The sequence below is a fragment of the Homo sapiens genome, chromosome 7 (genome assembly GCF_000001405.40).
Source record: "Homo sapiens chromosome 7, GRCh38.p14 Primary Assembly".
Lineage (NCBI taxonomy): Eukaryota > Metazoa > Chordata > Mammalia > Primates > Hominidae > Homo > Homo sapiens.
Genome location: NC_000007.14, coordinates 155,046,373 through 155,066,653, shown reverse-complemented (window position 1 = coordinate 155,066,653; position 20,281 = coordinate 155,046,373).

Genomic DNA, 20,281 nt, shown 5'->3' with positions numbered 1-20,281 from the left:
ATGCCAGAGGCAGCTGCTCTGATTCACATCCTGGTGATGTGGAAAGGCTGCCAGGTTCGGTTGGGGCTAAGAGCAGGAAATGGCTCTAGCAGAAGTCCTGGCTGCAGTGAAAGCAGCCCAACTGCTTGGGCTTTATGATTTGCAAAGCTTATGTTACTAGGAGTACCTGTAATGGGAAAAAACTCCATGAGGATTTTATGATAAACACCAGTAAAAGAGTCACAGTATAGACCCTGAGGGTTCTGGAGGAAAGTCACTCCGTCTACAACAGGAAACATTACACTGTTGGAAAAGCAGTTTGTGTGAGCCAGGGCTCTGGCAGAAATAGAGCATCTGAGCATGAGACATTAAGTGACACTGGAACAAAATATAACCATCAAGATGTGGAATTTTGCAGACCCACCTACAAGATTGGGTGGGCTCAGCAGCAAAACAGCATAAAACAGAAGTGGTGCAGAGCAGAGCTGGAGGGTGCAAGCCAGCTCCACAAGAGGTGGCCCAGACCACCCTGCTGTCTGTCATCACTGTACAAGCACCTACCCCTCAGCTCAAAGCCCTGGCCACATGTCCAGCTGATGCGGCACCAGCAGGGCCAAGGGGAATTCACAGGTGGGTCAGCCTGATGTGTTGGTGCAAGTCAGCAAGAAGACTGCTGCTGTCTCATGTCTACTCTGGGTGGCCTTGGGAGACAGCAGTCAGGGGAGACCCTTCCAAGGGGCAGAGCTCTAGGTGCTGCACTTGATCTTCCATTTTGTTTGGAAAGGGGAGCAGCCTGAAAGAAGATGATACAGACTCATGAACAGTGGCTAAAGGTCTGGAAGGTGAATGACTGGAAGGAAGGATGTCTGTGAAAGAGGCTTGTAGATGAACCACAGGGAATAAGGACAAAGTGTGGATATGTTTTTATCACTTTTAACATCCTCCAGAAAGCATACACTGCAGCATAGAGCACTGGAAGGGGATCACCAGCCACCTTGAAGAGCGGCTATTCATCAGCAGGGATGGATTTGCCTCTCCTGCCTGCAGGGTCTCAGCCAGGTCACTGTCCAAGGACCTTTGTAAGTTTCCATCCTCTGATACAGGATTGCATTTAGCATCCTTGTGAACCAATGGCCCCACTTTACAGCAATGAGCACATGGCCTCGGGTCCCATCACAGACCACTTGTTGCAAGTCGAGCTGCACTTCTCCCCGATTGAGAAAAAAGAAGTGTTGAAGTCCTCACCCCTGGTATCCGTGAATGTGACCTTCTTTGGAAATAGGGTCTTGGCTAATGTAATCAAGTTAAAATTGCACTGGATTAATGTGGGCCCTAAATCCAATGACAGTGACCTCATAAGAGAGGGATGTGTGAAGACACAGACACAGAGAGAAAAGGCCATGTGAAGACAGAGCCGAGTGATGCCACCACACGCCAACGAACACTGAGGATTGCCAGCAACACCAGGAACAAGAGAGGCAAGGAAGGACTCTTCCCTGGAGCCCTCAGGGAGCATAGCCCTATCTGCTGACACCTTGATTTCAGATTTGTAGCTTCCACACTGTGGGAAAATTGATTTCTGTTGTTTTAAGCCCCACAGTTTGTGGCACATTGTTAACAGCCACCCTAGGAAATTAAGACACTATTTTACCCAGAAACTGCCAGCCTGATGGAGAGGGGGGATGGCCTCTCAAATGTGCTAGGGAGATACTACTAGGAGACTCTACTCTGCAACACCATCCCTCTATAGATAGCGATACCATCAATCAATGTCTTTTTATGGGGCTGTCCTTAAGGTAGACTATACGGACAGGCCTGGAAATCATGAAATAGAAGCACATCGTCATGCTTCCTGTCACATCAGTGACCACCTGGCAACGTTGTCCTTCTTGTCCATGCGACTTTAGGCTCTGTGAGTCTAGAGGTTCTGGTTCCTAGAGAGACAGAGCTCCCATCAGGTGCCATAGCAATAGTTCAATGTAACTTGTTCACTTTGGGCTGCTCATGCCAAGAGACTAGCAGGCAAGGACAAGAGTCAGCAACGTGATAGGGGTAACTGATTATGAGGAGGTGGCAGGTTGTGGCTACGGAGGGAGCAGAGAAGGATACTGCATTAGTCCATTCTCACGTTGCTATGAAGAAATACCTAAACTGGTAATTTATAAAGAAAATAGGCTTAATTGATTCACAGTTCCACATGCCTGCAGAGGCCTCAGGAAATGCATAATCATGGCAGAAGGGAAAGCAAACACAACCTTCATCACAAGGCGGCAGGAGAGAGAAGTGCCAGCAGGGAAAATGCCAGATGCTTATAAAACCATCAAATCTTGCGAGACTCACTCACTGTCACAGGAACAGCATGGGAGAAACCTCCCCCATGATCCAATCACTTCCCACTGGCTCCCTTCCACAACATGTGGGGATTATGGGAGCTACAATTCAAGATGAGATTTGGGTAGAGACACAGCCAAACCGTGTCAGATGTGTTTGGCAGCAAAGTGATTAGCATGGACATGTTATTCTCCAGAATGTAAATACATAGATGTGGCAATCATGGCATGAAAAGATCTTGGTAACCAGTGGGTCAGATCCCTCCGGGATGAGGGCCTTACCTCATGGATGATTCTGACATCAAGGTCAACAGAGATGCTAGCACAGGTGCAAGAAAACACAGGCAGCTAGTGGAGAAGGGAGATGATGAGTATCTGTCACAGACTTGAGACCAGCTGCAACAGTGAGGGTCGTGCCTTGTCCCAACAACCAGAACCCTGGATGGAAAGAACTCACTGTGAGAAGCAAGTGGGCTTGGAGGTATAAGGAGTGGACTGCAGTGGATGCTATGGTAATTTGTCCAGGTCCCTCCCTCTGCACCGATTCTTCCTTCCCTAGATTCTGAGTATCAGCTGTTGATGGCTTATAGCTATGTCCCTCATTGGGAATTGAGCTCTGCTGCATAAAACAGCCTTGCCGATGTTGTCTCAGTGTTGTCTCATCCCAGCAGGTGACCTGAAGCCAATGACAGACTGATGCAGGGATACAGAGTCCCAGCTCCCTTGCCAATCTGGGACAGTTCTGATAGGCAACTCCTGCTCAAAGCCCCTGAAGGATCGGTTGAGGTCTCAATTGTAAACACAATGAACACCTATTGCAGTATTCAGCAAGTCCAAATGCTTAGACGAACACAAAATATGTAGCCTAGGAGAGCTCATCTTCTGAAGAAGAAAATCAAAATGCATGTGCCACAAAATAACGTTTCAGTCAACAACAGACCACATACACAATGATAGTCCCATAAGATCATGATGGAGCTAAAAAAATTCCTATCACCTAATGAGTCATAATAGCACAACATGTTACTCAGCTGTAATGCTGATGTAAGTAGTAACATTGTATAGCTTCATGGCATAGGAGCAATAGGCTATCCCATGCAGCCTAAGGTGTAGTAGGTTATCCCATACAGATTTGTATAAATAAACTCTATGATGTTTGCACAACAACAAAATCACATAACAGTGCATTTCTCAGAACATATCTCTATTGTTAAGTGACACATGACTGTACCTATTTATTGGATAAAGTTACTCACTAGCCTAAAGTGAGTAAATTATTGAGATAAGATTACTTGAAGTATCTTATTCTAGAATAGAAATTATTTGTCTCTACTTTCTTATTTGTCTCAACTTAGAAATGTCCCACGATGTAAGAGGCTAAACATGAATCTTCAAAGAGTCATATTCATAACATTAAATTATTATCTTGGGAAGTGTCTAACAGTGGGATGTGTAACATTTCTTGTTAATAGCCAAGTATCTTTTACACATAGACTGAGTGCACAAACCACAGTTATTCTTGGTTTGCTTTTGCCCCTAGCATTCCTCAGGTATCTGAATTAAAGTGAAAGAAAACAGAAACACGTGGGGAGAGGGCTGGGGAATAACCAAGGCCCTTTTTCTCCTGCCTCTTTTTAACCAGGCCAGTAAGCTGCATCCACAGTTTACCAGGCGTGTTTCAGAAAGCTGCTTTTATAATAGGCATTTCCTCCTCTTTGGCAGTGGGGTGAAAGCAAGAACGAGTTTGGCATTTTGTGAGGTCAAATCTGTCTTCAGTTACTAGAACCATCTGGCTTTTTGGAGGATGGCCCCAATACTCAAATGGCTGAGTATACTGTTGAGGGAAAGCCATACAGAGAAATACATTTTTACATACAGCTCTTTCTTGCAAAGAAAAGAACGCCGGTCCTTGAGGACACCCTGAAGCCCAGAGCTTGCAGAAGTCGCCCCCACCCCTTCCCTAGCTCTTTCTCCAGTCTGGAAGCTGTGGCAGGTGCCTCTACCCCACTCCACCCCCAGGCAGCAGCCACTCCCTCAGGCCCTCCTCCCTCCCCTTCTCCTGGCTTCAGGAAAGAACCCAGGGTTAAGTTGTAGCATTACCTGGCTAGGCCTCATAAGGTGGAAAATGTCTATAACTGAAGGGTTTGCAAGGAATGTCTACAAGATTCCAGCAAGAATGAGGGGAGGGCCCCAGGGACTAGATTTTGAGGGAGATTGACAAATGTCATCTGCTGGAGCAGATATAAAACTGAATAAGGAAGAACTTTTAGATTTGGGAGCACTCTCTCAGGACATGTTTATGGCAGCACAATTCACAAGTGCAAAATTGTGGAACCAACCCAAATGCCCATCAATCAACGAGTGGATAAAGAAACAGTGGTGTATATATACCTGATAAAATACTACTCACCCATAAAAAGGAATGAATTAATGGCATTCTCAGCGACTTGGATGAGATTGGAGACTATTCTTTTTTTTTTTTTTTTTTTGGTTGTTTGTTTCTTTGTTTGTTTGAGAGGGAGTTTTGCTCCTGTTGCCCAGGTGGGAGTGCAATGGTGTGATCTCGGCTCACTGCACCCTCCGCTTCCCAGGTTCAAGCGATTCTCCTGCCTCAGCCTCCCAAATAGCTGGGATTACAGGCACCTGCCACCACGCCCGGCTAATTTTTGTATTTTTAGTAGAGACACGGTTTCACCATTTTGGCCAGGCTGGTTTCGAACTCCTAATCTCAGGTGATCCTCCCATCTCAGCCTCCCAAAGTGCTGGGATTGCAGGCATGAGCCACCACTCCTGGCCTGGAGACCATTACTTTAAGTGAGGTAACTCAGGAATGGAAAACCAAACATCGTATGTTCTCACTAATATGTGGGAGCTAAGCTACCAGGATGCAGAGGCGTAAGAATGATACAATGGACTTTGGGGACTTGGAGGGAACAGTGGGATGCGGTAAGGGATAAAAGACTACAAATAGGATGCAGCGTATATTGCCTGGGCAATTGGTGCACCAAAATCTCACAAATCACTACTAAAGAACTTACTTATGTAACCAAACACCACCTGCACCCCAATAACCTGTGGAAAAATAAAATAAAATAAATAATCCTAAATAAGGAAGAACTTGTAGATTTGGGGGCACTCTCTCAGGACACAGAACCAGCAAGGACACCATGAGGTGGGGCACTCACCACCAGTGTGGCTATCAGCAGCCTGGGGAAAGTGATGGGTAATTAGTTGTGGAAATCCTGAGCTGCCTTGGCAGATGGGAGAGGAAGGAATAAAAGGCTGAGGGAAGTGGGCTTCTGGGACAGATAGATTATGTAAGGCTGGAAGATTCAGAGGATTATGTTCCTGGGGGGCCCAGAGGAAGCCCCCTTCACTGAGGCCATCAAGAATGAACTAGTGAAAAGCTCAGTGGTAGATCTCCTCGGAGGCCAGGAATGATGGTAAGAGGCGGATCACACGCAAATATCCATGCAGACGATGTTGTGTCAAGTGACAGGGGCCAGGCAGAAACACTTGGTCACCAGAAGCTAGAAGCTCACAGTGACCATAATGCCAACGAGGTGTGCCCAAGGGTGCTTGACTCCTGGGATATGGGGGAGGACTAAGAGAGTATGGTACCCCCAAGGCCAAAATAAGCAGGTCAGCAGCCAGGGTGCTGCTTTGACTTCAACCCAAATCAAAGAAACCTAAAAGACACAATCCCTTACAGACTGAGACCAATTTCCAGATCAAGAACCCACTGACTAAAGAGGAGGCTGGGTTCTAGCAGGAAGGACCCTGCAATATCATGTCTAGTATATGCCATCACAATTCCCCTAGTCCTTTCCCAGAGAGACCCACAGCCATCTCCTTAAGTGGCTGAATACAATCAAAAGCAGAATGCCCACACATGTTGAGGATTAGTGGGCCCAGGATCACCCAGTGTCATTAAAGCTTTCTAAATTCCCCTCACCCTCAGCTCTCACCTTAGCAGGTTACCTGATGGTGTCCATTGAGCCTCAGTTCCTGAGGGGTCTGGACCCTTGGGAATCATACCTGCCCCAGCCAGCAGCACCTGCCTGTTGCTATGTACAATGAGGACCAGGAAGCGGAGTCCTTTTCCTTCCAGCCCCGTGACCAGAGACCACCAATCCACACCCTCACATCAGGCCACAAGCCGTGGATTACTAGGTTCTTTGGTTGCCTCTACTTCACCCCATTGATGAGGAAGGGATACCCTGCCCAAAACAGTATAAGATGGCAGAACACGTGACACCTGGCCCTGGACAGGTATGATCAATGGCAGTTTCTCAGTCACATAGACTCAGCCCAGGGAGGAGGACCGTGGGAGTGAGGCCGCACTTGGGAGCAGAGTGCACTGGTCGGGGGAGGGGGAAGCAGGCTTTGTAGTGACAGGGGGTGGGCGAGTTGATAAAGAGGGTATTGTGGTGGCTCATTACAGGAGAATGTGAACAGCCTGTTTGAGTAATTCCAACAGTTTGCTGGAAGGTGGAACCCATTAGGTTGAGGGCCAGGTGGGATGCAGCCCACCCACCTGATGGGAGAACTACCTGGGTAGGAGTCTATCCCACAAGGGGGTGGAGATTGTGAGTATCTTGGGAGAGAAGAGGACCTAGAAGTTTAGACCTTGGAGCCATGGAGGCCCAAAGGTGTCAAGGCAGCATTTGAACTTTTAGGTCTTACAATACGCCAGATGCCCTGCTTAAATAACTTCAACCATTGGGAAAAGTTCCTCTATCTGCAGTCTTTCAAGGGCATCCCTGAATGTGGCTGTAACACAGCTGTCATGCATTTGCACCCATATAATGAGCCAAGTGAATCATCAGCCAAGCTCAGGTTTCTCCTCCTCCTTCACTGATCATATGGGAGCTCCAACAAGGCTGTAGTAGGAACTGGGGCAGTGGCTCTGGTGGAACTGTGGTGGGCAACGAGGGGGTTTGGGCTACCTGCTCATGCAATCAGGCCCCTGAAGCTATTGTGGGTCCATGCCTCAGCCTACCTTTTCTTTCAGGCAAAGCCAGCAAAGAGATTTACTTCTGGAAATTTTGTCCCATGGGAAGATGGTCATTGATTCCTGTGTTTCAGAATCACACCTAATTGGGGCCTTAAGGCAGCAATGGTCCTCTGCCAGCAGGTGCCAACACATGCCACAGACTCCGCAGTGAAGAGGCTGCACCTTTTTTTCTATTAACTGATCAATAGTGGAAACGCCATGAGGCAACGGGTGTGAGTGGAGGGAGAGGCTGTGAGTGATAGAAGCAGGCAGCAGGGGGGCCTGGGCCATCTGCCCATAGCAATTGCTGAGCATTCTGATGTGCTCAGTGCCCAGTCTCCCATGCTATTTCTGTTTAATAATTGAATGCTTCTGTGCATGCCACCTTGATGATTCTGGCTTCTGATCGATCCACCCTATTTGCAATGATTAGTTAGGTTACTTTCACTGCAATTTGGACTTACTGAAGAGCTCTCTGTTACTCTCTCCTTCCCTTAATACTGGCAGCCTTATTAGTTACTTAGGGTTGATGCACCTGATAGCAATAAAGTAACTTAAGCAGATCCTAAGAATGACCCCGTATGGCAGATGCACCTGAATGTGTATTCAGAGTGGTGAGCGAGGACAATCTGGAGATTCGTTCCTTGGCTATGAGGAATATCTGAGCGCCTGACCTGTCCCACAGAACTCAGGCAACTCAGGGGTTCAGGCCCCCTTGTTTTGGGTTAAATGAAGGTTTCCAGGTGGAGATGTGAAAGGAAAATCTTGGGGCCCAAAAATCACTAAGCTAAAGGGAAAAGTCAAGCTGGGAACTTCTCAGGGCAAACCTGCCTCCCATTCTATCCAAAGTCATCCCTCTGCTCACTGAGATAGATGCATATCTGATTGCCCTCCTTTGGAATGGCTTATCAGAAACTCAAAAGAATGCAACCATTTGTCTCCCACCTACCTGTGACCCGGAAGCCCCCTCCCTGCTTCGAGTTGTCCCCACCTTTCTGGACAGAACCATTGTACTTCTTACATATATTGATTGATGTCTCACATCTTCCTAAAATATATAAAACCAAGCTGTGCCCTGGCCACCTTGGGCACATGTCATCAGGACCTCCTGAGGCTGTGTCACGGGCAGGCATACTCAACCTTGGCAAAAAGAACTTTCTAAGTTAACTGAGACCATCTCAGCCATTGGGGGGTTCACAGAGGGTGTTGTGAAAATGTCCTGTAAACTGCATGCTTTCTGTGGGCGGCAGCAGTTCTCCTCCCTGCCTGCAACCATGGGCCACCCTGTATGTAAGTTCCCCTCAGTAACCGCAACTCTCATTTGCTGGCTCTGGGTCTCATCTTTGGCCTCTTGAACTTGGTGCCATTCCTATTGAAATTAATAGGAGCCCGGTGCAACAGTTATCTGGAAAATGGGCTAGAGAAATGTAGCCCCGATTCCAGGACGAGCATTGTACCACTTTCTTCAAGGTGGTATCCTTTCACTTTAGAGGGGATATTCTAATATACCCCATGCTACTAGATGTCCTTCCAGAAACATCTCTTGGGGCTTATGTCCCGTCTTCTAGCAGGCATATATTTTATTGGGATTTCTGTTGTATTTGCTAATTCCTCCTCAGCGGGTGCAGTTAGAATCACGTTATCAATATAACGACCATCTGGTATTATTTGGGATGTCAAGTTCCTTCAAGACGATATAATATGGAGGGCAGAAGAATTGACAAAATCGTGACATAAGAAAATGAAGGTCAAAGTGGGTTGTTTCTGTTTGTTTGTTTGTTTGTTTTTGTCAACTTGATTACTGCATACCAGGTTCCAGGGTTTATGTTTATTTACTCCACCAGAAATATGGCATCTGGGACCACAGCTGCAATCACCATAATCCACATTGATTACCCAAGACACTCATCTCTGATGCCAGCCAAGCAGATAATTTAAATAGTGATTCCTCAGGAACTGACCCCTTGCATTCTAATCTCCATAATTCCCTCGGGATTACAGGGGTGCTACAGGGAGCAGTTTCAAGGATTTTACTTGGCCCTTCTTTTCCACACCAATTTTTACTTCGCAGATGAGTGAGCTGATGTGGATATTCTGCAGCTGATTAAGCATCTTTATTCTAAGCAGTCAGTAACGGGACGGGAGCAGCCACGATTTGAGTCCGTGTGCTCACTGGGCCTGTAGCAGGATGGACTTGGGCCAAGATTCCAACCTCCATAATCCCCACTCTGACTGGTAGACATGGTGGTAGGAGGAGGCCCCAGAGATCCACGTTAGTGCAGATACAGTTTCTTAATTGAGTCACCCTGCCCCAAGCAAATTATGAGACAGAACATTGGGTATAAGTAGTTTGTTTGGGAGGTGATCTCTGAAAGCAGGAGCAGGGAAGCAGAGAGAGTGGGTGTGAGGAAGGAGGAGCCAATAAAAAGACACTGGAGAAGGCCAAGTGCAGTGGCTCATGCTTGTAATCCCAGCACTTTGGGAGGCCGAGGCGGGTGGATCACAAGGTCAGGAGTTCGAGACCAGCCTGGTCAACATAGTGAAACCCTGTCTCTACTAAACATACAAAAATTAGCTAGGTGTGGTGGCAGGTGCCTATAGTCTCAGCTACTTGGGAGGCTGATGCAGGAGAATCACTTGAACCTGGGAGGTGGAGGTTGCAGTGAGCCAAGATCATGTCACTGCACTCCAGCCTGGGTGACAGAGTGAGACTCCATCTCAAAAAAAAAAAAAAAAAAAAAAAAAAAAGACACTGGACAGCTGGTGTCCACTGTGGACAAGCAGGGTGTACTCCCCCTAAAGTCTATCCCTGAAGGGCAAGAGGCCACAACACTCACCCGCTGACTCCTACACCCCATTGGTTGATGTTTGCTCCCAAGGCGTCAGCCTCACCACCCTGCTTCTGGGAGGCTTCTGAGTGCAGGCTAAGTCCTCAGTCCTCATGGTTGCGAAGCAAGCCCTGAGGCAGGAGGGTGGAGAGAGTGCGGAATGCCATGCTGTGGGGTGCATGAAACTGTCCTGCTGAGCCGCAGCTGAGGTCAGAACCGGACCCCAGAGAACGGGAACTTCCCCACAGCCAGTGCCTAAAATGTCCTACAGGGGTGTGCATTTCCCTTGCACACTGGTAAGGGGCCAGGGGTCTCCCTGCAGACATTTGAAGGGAGGTGTGTAGTTTGCAGGTATGGCCACGTTGTGGGGAATTTCCCCAAAGGGGCCCAGCCTTCTCTTCAATCAAGAGGCCCCAGGACTGGGAGCAGGTCCAGTGAGGGGCTTTGAAACTCAGCTGTAGGCTGGGCACAGTGGCTCACGCCTGTAATCCCAGCACTTTGGGAGGCTGAGGTGGGTGGATCACCTGAGATCAGGAGTTTGAGACCAGCCTGGCCAACATGGTGAAACCCCGTCTCTATCAAAAATACAAAAATTAGCCAGGCATGGTGGCGTGCTCCTGTAGTCCCAGCTACTTGGGAGGCTGAGGCAGGAGAATCTCTTGAATGGGGGAGGTAGAGGTTGCACTGAGTCGAGATCATGCCATTGCACTCCAGCCTGGGCGAGAAGGGCAAAACTCCATCAAAAACAAAAACTCAGCTGTGGTAACTTGAGTCTAATTTCTGCCCACCAGACCCAGAAACGTTTTTATTATTATTATTAAAGTTAACGCCTTATTCGATTGCCCATACATTCTATTCCTAAGGTTCCATAATTGACAAGCTACCTCCTGGGACCCTGAGATCAAAATGCTTTGATTTTCTCTTTCCCTAGAGCCTATTACATAAATCTTGTCAACCATGTCTCTGACAGTTGTTTCCTCTCTGGGACCCCATTATTTCCATTCAAAGCAGGAGCCCAATTCAATGTGTCGTTTTTCTTTCATCCTCTCTATCATACATACAACAGCTTCCAACTATTCCAAGGATGGGCTGGGTGCAGTGGCTCACACTTGTAATCTCACACTTTGGGCGGAGACCAGTGGAATGCTTGAGCCCAGGAGTTCAAAACTAGCCTAGGCAATGTGCTGAAACCTTGTATCTACAAAAAATATACACACACAAAAATTAACTAGGCATGGTGATGCGTGTCTGTAGACCCAGCTACTCAGCAGGCAGAGGTGGGAGGATCAATTGACCCTGGGAGGCAGAGGTTGTGGTGAGCCAAGATCACACCGCTGCACTCCAGCCTGGGTAACAGAGCAGGACCCTATCTCAAAAAAAAAAAAAAAAAAAAAAAAAAAACTTTTCAAGGATGTTTCTGTTAACAATGCATTTCTGATTTTTTTTTTTTACTTATCTATTTTGGAAAATTTCAAACACACATAAAACTAAATCGACTGGCATAACACAATTTCACATACTCATCACCATCACATATGGTTCCCTTCAGATGACACATACTCAGGGGCAAGACTCATAACCTATTTTCATATTTGTTCTCTTAATTTTTGGAAAAGTTGCTGGTTTGTGAAAGACTACAGACATTAGGAAGTGACATTTGGCCCTGGGCTCCAGTGGACAGAAAGCCTCTGGTTCTTCTAAGCGCAGATATTGTGATTATATCTAGGACCCATTCTGTTCTTTACTTAGTAATTCTCTTTTCCATATCTCTTCCTTCAAAAACATTTTTTAATTAAAATATACTTTAATATATTTGGTGTCAACACATGAAAACTTTTTAGATAAAAGATTCAAATGAACAGGGTCATGTAGTCCATGGAGACTTGTTCTCATTAATTCTTATCATCTTCTCCCTTGAACAAGGTTCAGGCATATATAACACACACGCTGTGCCCCTGGGAAAGTGAACAGAAACAGTCCTGATGGGGACAAAGCTCCATGTGACATGACCACGAATCTGGGCAAAATTCTCTCCTTCCACAGCCCAGAAGACAGCATTGTCCTAAGACTAGACTCAGTACTACCAAGACACATCACCGATTCTGAGTAATGAGAACACACAGACCCATGGGGGGAACAACTCACACTGGAGCCTGTCAGAGGGTAGGGCGTGGGAGGAGGGAGAGTATGAGGAAGAAGAGCTAATGGATACTGGGCTTAATACCCAGGTGATTGGATGATCTGTGTAGCAAACCACCATGGCACACGTTTACCTATGTAACTAACCTGCACATCCTGCACATGTACCCCAGAACTTAAAATCAAAGTTGGAAATCAGAGTGAATCAAATATCTTTATACCCTTGAAGTTTCAAAGCAAAATCCACAATTACAAATGTAAGCCACAGAGTGCTTTGGAGTGACCTGTATTTTCTGAGACGGGTGTGTCCAGTAAATAGTAACTCAGCAAGTGACTTATTCAGAAGGGGTGACACCAGAAACATCGCCGGGATCAGGAAGAAAGCTGACTCTTTGGACTCTTACTCCAAGTCTCCTTGGGCCAGATTTCCAACAGTTGCTCAACTCACTTCTCAGGTTGGAAGTAGTGCCTGGCGCAGTGGCTTATGCCTGTAATCCCAGTACTTTGGGAGGCTGAGATGGGCAGATCATTTCAGTGCAGAAGTTTGAGACCAGCCTGGGCAACATGGCAAAACCCCATCTCTATAAAAAATACAGAAATTAGCCGGGCATTGTGGTGTGCACCTGTAGTCTCAGCCACTCAAGAGGCTGAGGTGGGAGGATCCCCTGAGCCCCGGGGAGGCCGAGGCTGCAGTGAGCCGTGATAGCAGCACTGCACTGCACTCTAGCCTGGACGACAGAGTGAGACCCTGCCTCAAAAAAAACAAAAACCGAAAACAAACAAACAAACAAAAAAACAAAAGAAGAAGAAGAAGTAGCATGTTGGTGGGGAATGGGGACTGGCAGCTAGAGGGAGGCAACTGACGGATGGCGTGACATGATAGTGATGGGTGGGAGGAAAAGCAGCAGACTGGTGCAGTGAAAATATGCATGGAGTCCAGGCAGGGTGAATGGCTTTAAAAATGGGTCAAGTTCAGATCCCGTAGGTTGTGAATGTGGAAAGAGTGATTAATCATGGTTCAATAAGAGCTCTAGATGAGCACAGCTTAACTCCAAAGCACACGTTACTCTTTAAGAGGCCAAGCTCTGTAGGGAATGGTTAGAGGATTGCCGTATTAATGTCATGAGTCATCTCCACTCAACTGAGAGGACGCAACTATGAGCTGAGTTTTCCAACCCCTGCCTGGATGACTTGTCTACTTCTGCTCTCCGCATTGTAGCCACGGTGCTGATTCCTCAGGAAGTCAGCACTGACGCGTGGACGGAGCATCAACCCTGCAGCCTGGATTCCAGTCCTGATCCTGACAGATTAGCTCTGTGACCACTGCTAAATGCTCTCCTCTCACTTATAAAACGGGACAATTGTGTCCGCCCTGCCTCGGAGTCGCAGCGTGGGGGTAAGGATCAAATGCTCCTGTGGACAGGAATAGGCATCATGGCCTGAATGGAGCAAAATCTCATCATAGTGTCCTAAGAAACTGACAAAAGCACAATGAACTCTGCTCCCCTGTTCCTTCTAATGAGGTTGATATTGCTTTGTTCTCAAGGTGCTGTGATTTTCCTCAATGCAAAACTTCTGTTTTTTTTTTTTTTTTTTTTTTTGTTTTGAGACAGAGTCTCGCTCTGTTGCCCAGGCTGGAGTGCAGTGGCATGATCTCAGCTCACTGCAAGCTCTGCCTCCCGGGTTCCCGCCATCCTCCTGCCTCAGGCTCCTGAGTAGCTGGGACTACAGGCGCTCGCCACCACACCCAGCTAATTTTTTGTATTTTTAGTAGTGACGGGGTTTCACCGTGTTAGCCAGGATGGTCTCGACCTCCTGACCTTGTGATCTGCCCGCCTGGCCCTCCCAAGGTGCTGGGATTACAGGCATGAGCCACTGCGCCCGGCCAAAACTCTTCTTTAAAGGAATACATAATATGACTCGCCAATGATTAGTGATGTCTACACTTTAGCCACATTTTCCAATAGTGGGGGTGGGTTTCATGGAGTCCATTCATGCTAAGACCCCAATCATATGCTAAGGAGCTGGCCATCTGCATGCTCATATCACACATGCAAGGGGGTGATATCTGCCTAGTTCTTTAAGGCACCCTGATCCCTGACAGCACAACCTGTAGGCTCTTCTACAGGTTGAGCTTCTAACACCACAGATATTAAAAGCAGTCATCCAGACTCACAAGACTTCCCTGATGCTGACTGCCTGGACTGTTTCTCAACTGCTTCATTTTAAATCTTCCCCAGACTCAAGACTTCACTTTTGCCCTAACCGCAGTCTCTGTCTAGTAAATGTTCCTTCCCAGGCTCACACCTTGGCTTTCCCATGAGAATGTCCGTTTAATTCTCACCTGACATTCCTGGCATCCTTTGCTGCCTTGGTGTCCCAGTTCAACTCTCAACCTAGGCTTCACTGGTGCACTTCCATACCAGACATTAGGCAGCCAGGCGTGGAAAATGTTGGAGCCAGGAGCACTGCTTTGGGCGAGTTGGCTCCTTATCCAAGAGGCCCCAAGTTTAACCATCTCTACACAGCAAAGTTGGACTCCAAAAGTATGTTTCAGATTGTTTTCTGAGGGTCCCTAGTGTCCAGATGTGGAGATTCTGAGCAGAACAGGCTTCAAGCGAGCACTCTCGCCAGCAACAAGAGCATTTTAGTTTTTGTCTGTCTATATAGGAGTTCTACATAAGATCTTGTTCTTAAGCTAATTGAAAACCATTTTCCAAAATAATCTCTTGGGTCTCTTCCATCGTCAGTGCCATGAACATGGTTGACCTCACTATCACCAAGCTTCCCCCAGCCAGGCTCACTGGCGGGAACCACAGCCCTGATGCTGACTGTGTGTGACAACTTTGAGTGGCCATCACCAACTTGGGAAGAGCTATCTGAAGACCTGAAGACCTAGCCATAACCAGAAGGCAAGAACAGCCTCCTCAGGCAGCAAAAACCAGCATATGCTACACCCGCCAAGTGCAGGCCCAACTTGTGGTTGCTCTTTGGAATTGGTTTGAAAGACTAATTAAACTAAGGAAGAAAAGAAACACTGACTTGGGCCATGGCTACCATACATAGTGTCGCCCCACCAACATTTAGCCCCCACATAGGCAAGAGGATAGCTAAGACTTCTACCTAGCAGAGTATTTCTCAACACCTAAATCATGCCTTCCTCTGATGACTTTTACATGTTCATTTTCATTTCTCATCCTCATCCCAAATAGGAACATCATCGCCCCTTCATCAATAAATAACTGAATTCTGACTCTTGAGCCAAAGAAAGACATTGCGTCTGTATCTAACTTTCTAACCTTTTGTCTCATTTGAGCTTATCCCATCTTTTCACTGTCCTGCAAGACTCCCATCCTCTCATTCATCACAAGTATTAGGACAATAGTAACTTTCTGATTTTTGCCCCTAACTGTCCCTTTTATCTAGATCTTCCAGGAGGAAGCAAAGTACATTCTTTGAGGCCCATGAAGCAGTGACTAATGCTCATCTGAATAAAAATGGAGTGAAACCATGAGAATGGGTCAAGGCCTCATATTCCACCCCTGAGAATTATGAGATTTCTCCAAGGTTAAGCTCAGTCACTCAGAAAAATAATGTAATGGCATAACTAAGTGAGTGCTGTATATGCTCTGAATGTATGTATGCATCAACCATCTGCTGCTCTATGTATTATTTTGCAGTCATTTTTAACCACGAATGCTGTTGGCTGCAAGAATAGCGGGTGAGCAGTGACTCCAAAACAAGATAATCTCACATAACAAGAAGCCTGGGGACAGGAGACCTAGGGCTAGTGTAGGGGCTTGGTGGTACCATCGTGTGTGTGTGTGTGTGTGTGTGTGTGTGTGTGTGTGTGTACTCCATGCAAATATACATAAAATGCTTGAGAAATTGAATTGTGGAGTATTTAGATTCAATGTCTCCAGAGTCATCAGAACTAATGTATTTCTCATGATACTGTATTTCTCATGTATTTGAAATGATTATGTATTATCATTTCAAAAATGCATTTTTTACTGGAAAAGTATTTGAGGTTTCCATAGTTCTTTTATAGAATTTGGTGTGCTTCACCCAGAAAAATCAATCTATATAAATGAAAGCAGGGCCGGGTGCGGTGGCTCATTCCTGTAATCCCAGCACTTTGGGAGGACAAGGCGGGTAGATCATGAAGTCAGGAGATTGAGACCATCCTGGCTAACACCGTGAAACCCTGTCTCTACTAAAAATACAAAAAAATAAAAAAATTAGCTGGGTGTGGTGGCATGAACCTGCAATCCCAGCTTCTCGGGAGGCTGAGGCAGGAGACTCACTTGAACCCAGGAGGTGGAGGTTGCAGTGAGCCCAGATTGCACCACTGCACTCCAGCCTGGGGGACAGGGCAAGACTCCGTCTCAGAAAAAAAAAAAATGAAAGCAATGGCATTACTATGTAGAATATGACATCTCAAACTTTAAATTCCAAGTGCTTGATGTTTTCCCTGCTAGTTCTACACTGGAATCAATTGTAAAAAGGAGAAAATACTATGGATCAAGGCAAAGACATTTGAACCAGATACAAAAATGAAATAGAGGCTCTGATGCCAGGTAGAGAAAATTTTAGGGGAATAAAAGATTCAGGTGAAAATGCTTCCTGAATCCCTCAGAAATGTGACACCCAGAAGGTGACAGGGACTGAAAACTTCAGCAGCAGTTGCTAGACCAGAACCCCCAGGGAGAAAGTCAGGTTAATCAAGGAAAGACAGGCCCCTGTCTCCATGCCAGGAAGTTATTAGAAAAAAAATATACTTTTTAAAATGAGCGAAAATACAGTAAACACTTCATATGTGACGCACGCATAAATATACGGCAAAGCCCTCAACCCCATGAATCAAGGAGATGCAAATCAAAATTACAGTGCAATCTCACTATTTATCTGCCAGAATGGCTAAAATGGAAAAGACTGGCAATAGAACCCCCATGGCGGTGTGAAGCAGTACAACCACTTTGGAAAACTGGCAGCATCTGTCAGAACCAGAGGTGTGCATATCCTACAACCCAGCAATTCCACTGCTGGATCTATATCCTACAGAAATGTATACATCCATTCACCAAATGGCATATATGGAACTATTTAGAATCACATATTTGTAATAAGAAAAAACTGAAAACTGCCTAAGTGCCCATCAGTAGCAACATAGATAAACCACCGAGCTGCCTTTACTCCATGGAAGGCTGTGTTATAGCAGTGTGGACAGAGAGGCCACACCTGGCAGCAATATGGATGGATCGCACAGACATCATTTTGATCAGAGGATGCCAGACACGAAATACAACCTATTATGTGATTCCATTTGTATTAATTCAATAACAGGAAAATGACCCTAAAGTATCAGAAATCAGGACAGGATAACATTTTTTATCCTGTTGGGGAAACAGTGACCAGAAAAGGAGGCAGGTGAGGTTCTATTTCCTGCTGGTTACACGGGTACATTCTCCCTGTGAAAATTCTTTGAGCTGTACACTTAATGATTTGTGCACTTTATTATATACCATGCCTTATCATTATGTTCTGCTTTATATATTATACTTCAATAAAAACTTCAGCAATAAATGCAGCTCAGTATTGTCCAGTTTAAAGTGGTCTCATTCAGATTCATGACCCCCTCCAGCAATAATTACCTTTAGCCAAATGAGGGATTCATGATTATTTTGAAACCACTTATTTAAAAATATGAGAATAATTTGGGAGGCCAAGGCAGGCAGATCACCTGAGGCCAGGAGTTCGAGACCAGCCTGGTCAACATGGTGAAACCCCATCTCTACTAAAAATACAAAAATTAGCCAGGTGTGGGGGCATGTGCCTGTAACCCCAGCTACCAGGGAGGCTGAGGCAGGAGAATCACTTGAACCCGGGGAGGGCGGAGGTTGCAGTGAGCCGAGATCACGCCATGGTACTCCAGCCTGGGCAACAAGAGTGAAACTCCATCTCAAACAAAAAAAAAAAATGAAAAAGAAATAAAAAAGAAAAATTTTCAAGCTTCTCGAAACATTGAAATAATAAAATGAGAATGTGAATGTCATAACTCACCTATTGCAAACATTTTGCTACCCTACCTTTCTCTCACTCTCACACACACTTGCATATGTACGTATGTATGTTTCTCAGTCCATTTGGGTTGCTATAGTAACATACCATAGACAAAGTGGCTTATAAAGACAGAAATTTATTTCTTACAGTTCTGAAGGCTGTGAAGCTCGAGATTAAGGTGCCAGAACATTCAGTGTCTGGTGAGAACCTGTTTCCTTATTTATAGCTGATGCCTTGTTGCTCTGTCATTACGTGGCAGTAGAGATCTCTGGAGCCTCTCTTCCAAGGGCATTAATCCCATTCCTATGGGCTCCACTGTCATGATCTAACTACCCCCCAGTACCATCACCTTGGGGGTTAGGATGGCAACATATGAATTTTGGGGAGACACAAAGACTCAGACCATACCATTCTGCCCATAGCACCCCAAAATTCATGTTGTTCTCACATGCAAAATACATTGATTTCCAGCATCAACTTTAAGGTTTAAAGTCCAAAGTCTCATCTAATTATCACCTAAATAAAATACGGTAGTCTAGCCGGGCGCAGTGGCTCACGCCTGTAATCCCAGCACTTTGGGAGGCTGAGACGGGTGGATCATGAGGTCAGGAGATTGCGACCATCCTGGCTAACACGGTGAAACCCCGTCTGTACTAAAAATACAAAAAAAAAAAAAAAATTAGCCGTGCGTGGTGGTGGGCACCTGTAGTCCCAGCTACTCGGGAGGCCGAGGCAAGAGAATGGTGTGAACCCAGGAGGCGGAGCTTGCGGTAAGCCAAGATCATGCCACTGCCCACCAGCCTGGGCGACAGAGTGAGACTCCACCTCAAAAAAAAAAAAAAAAAAGAAAAAGAAAAAAAATGTGGTAGTCTCAAGGTAGAATTCATATTGAGGTAAAATTCCTCTCCAGCTGCGAATCTGAAAAATCAAACAAGTTACGTGCTTCCAAAATTCCATGGTGGGACAGGCATAGGACAGACTTTTCCACTCCAGAAGAGAGAAATAGGAAAGAAGACAGGAATAACAGGAATTCTATCTTATAGAAATAAAAGCACCAGTTCTTATTGCAGTGCAAAAAAAAATGTTTATCGCGGTGTTTGTGGTGGCAAAACCTAATCAGCCCTGTTGGTGAGCGTTCACGTTCTGGTTCAATGAAGTATGGCAAAGCCATGTTGTGGAATTTGCAATAATTATTTTTTTTTCTTTTGTTTATTTTGAGACAGAGTCTTGCTCTGTCACCCAGGCTGGAGTGCAATGGCACCATCTTGGCTCACTGCGACCTCCACCTCCTGGGTTCAAGCCATTCTCATGCCTCAGCCTCTCGAGTAGCTGGGACTACAGGCACGTGCCACCATCCCCAGCTAATTTTTGTATTTTTAGTAGAGGTGGGGTTTCACCATGTTGGCCAGGCTGGTCTCAAACTCCTGACCTCAAATGATCCACCCACCTTGGCCTCCCAAAGTGCTGGGATTACAGGTGTGAGCCACCACACCCAGCCTATAATTATTTTTAAATTTAAATATATCCATATTGATTTGGTGACATGCCATGATATTATATGGGAAGAAAAATAATTTTCTCTTTCACCCTTCATGCATTCTTAGCTGAGACTCCACGTAACACAACACAGATTAACAAAAGAAAAACAAACAGAAGTTTAATAATATATATCCCTCCTATACACATGGGAAATACCCAAAGAAATTAGTAAACCTCTACTGATGGTCCTCAACTTATGATGGTTTGACTGAAAATTTTCTGACCTTGGCCAGGTGCGGTGGCTCACGCCTATAATCCCAGCACTTTGGAAGGCCGAGGCAGGTGGATCACCTGAGGTCAGGAGTTTGAGAGCAGCCTGTCCAATATGGTGAAACCCTGTCTCTACTAATAATACAAAAATTAGCTGGGTGTAGTGGTGGGTGCCTATAATCCCAGCTACTCGGGAA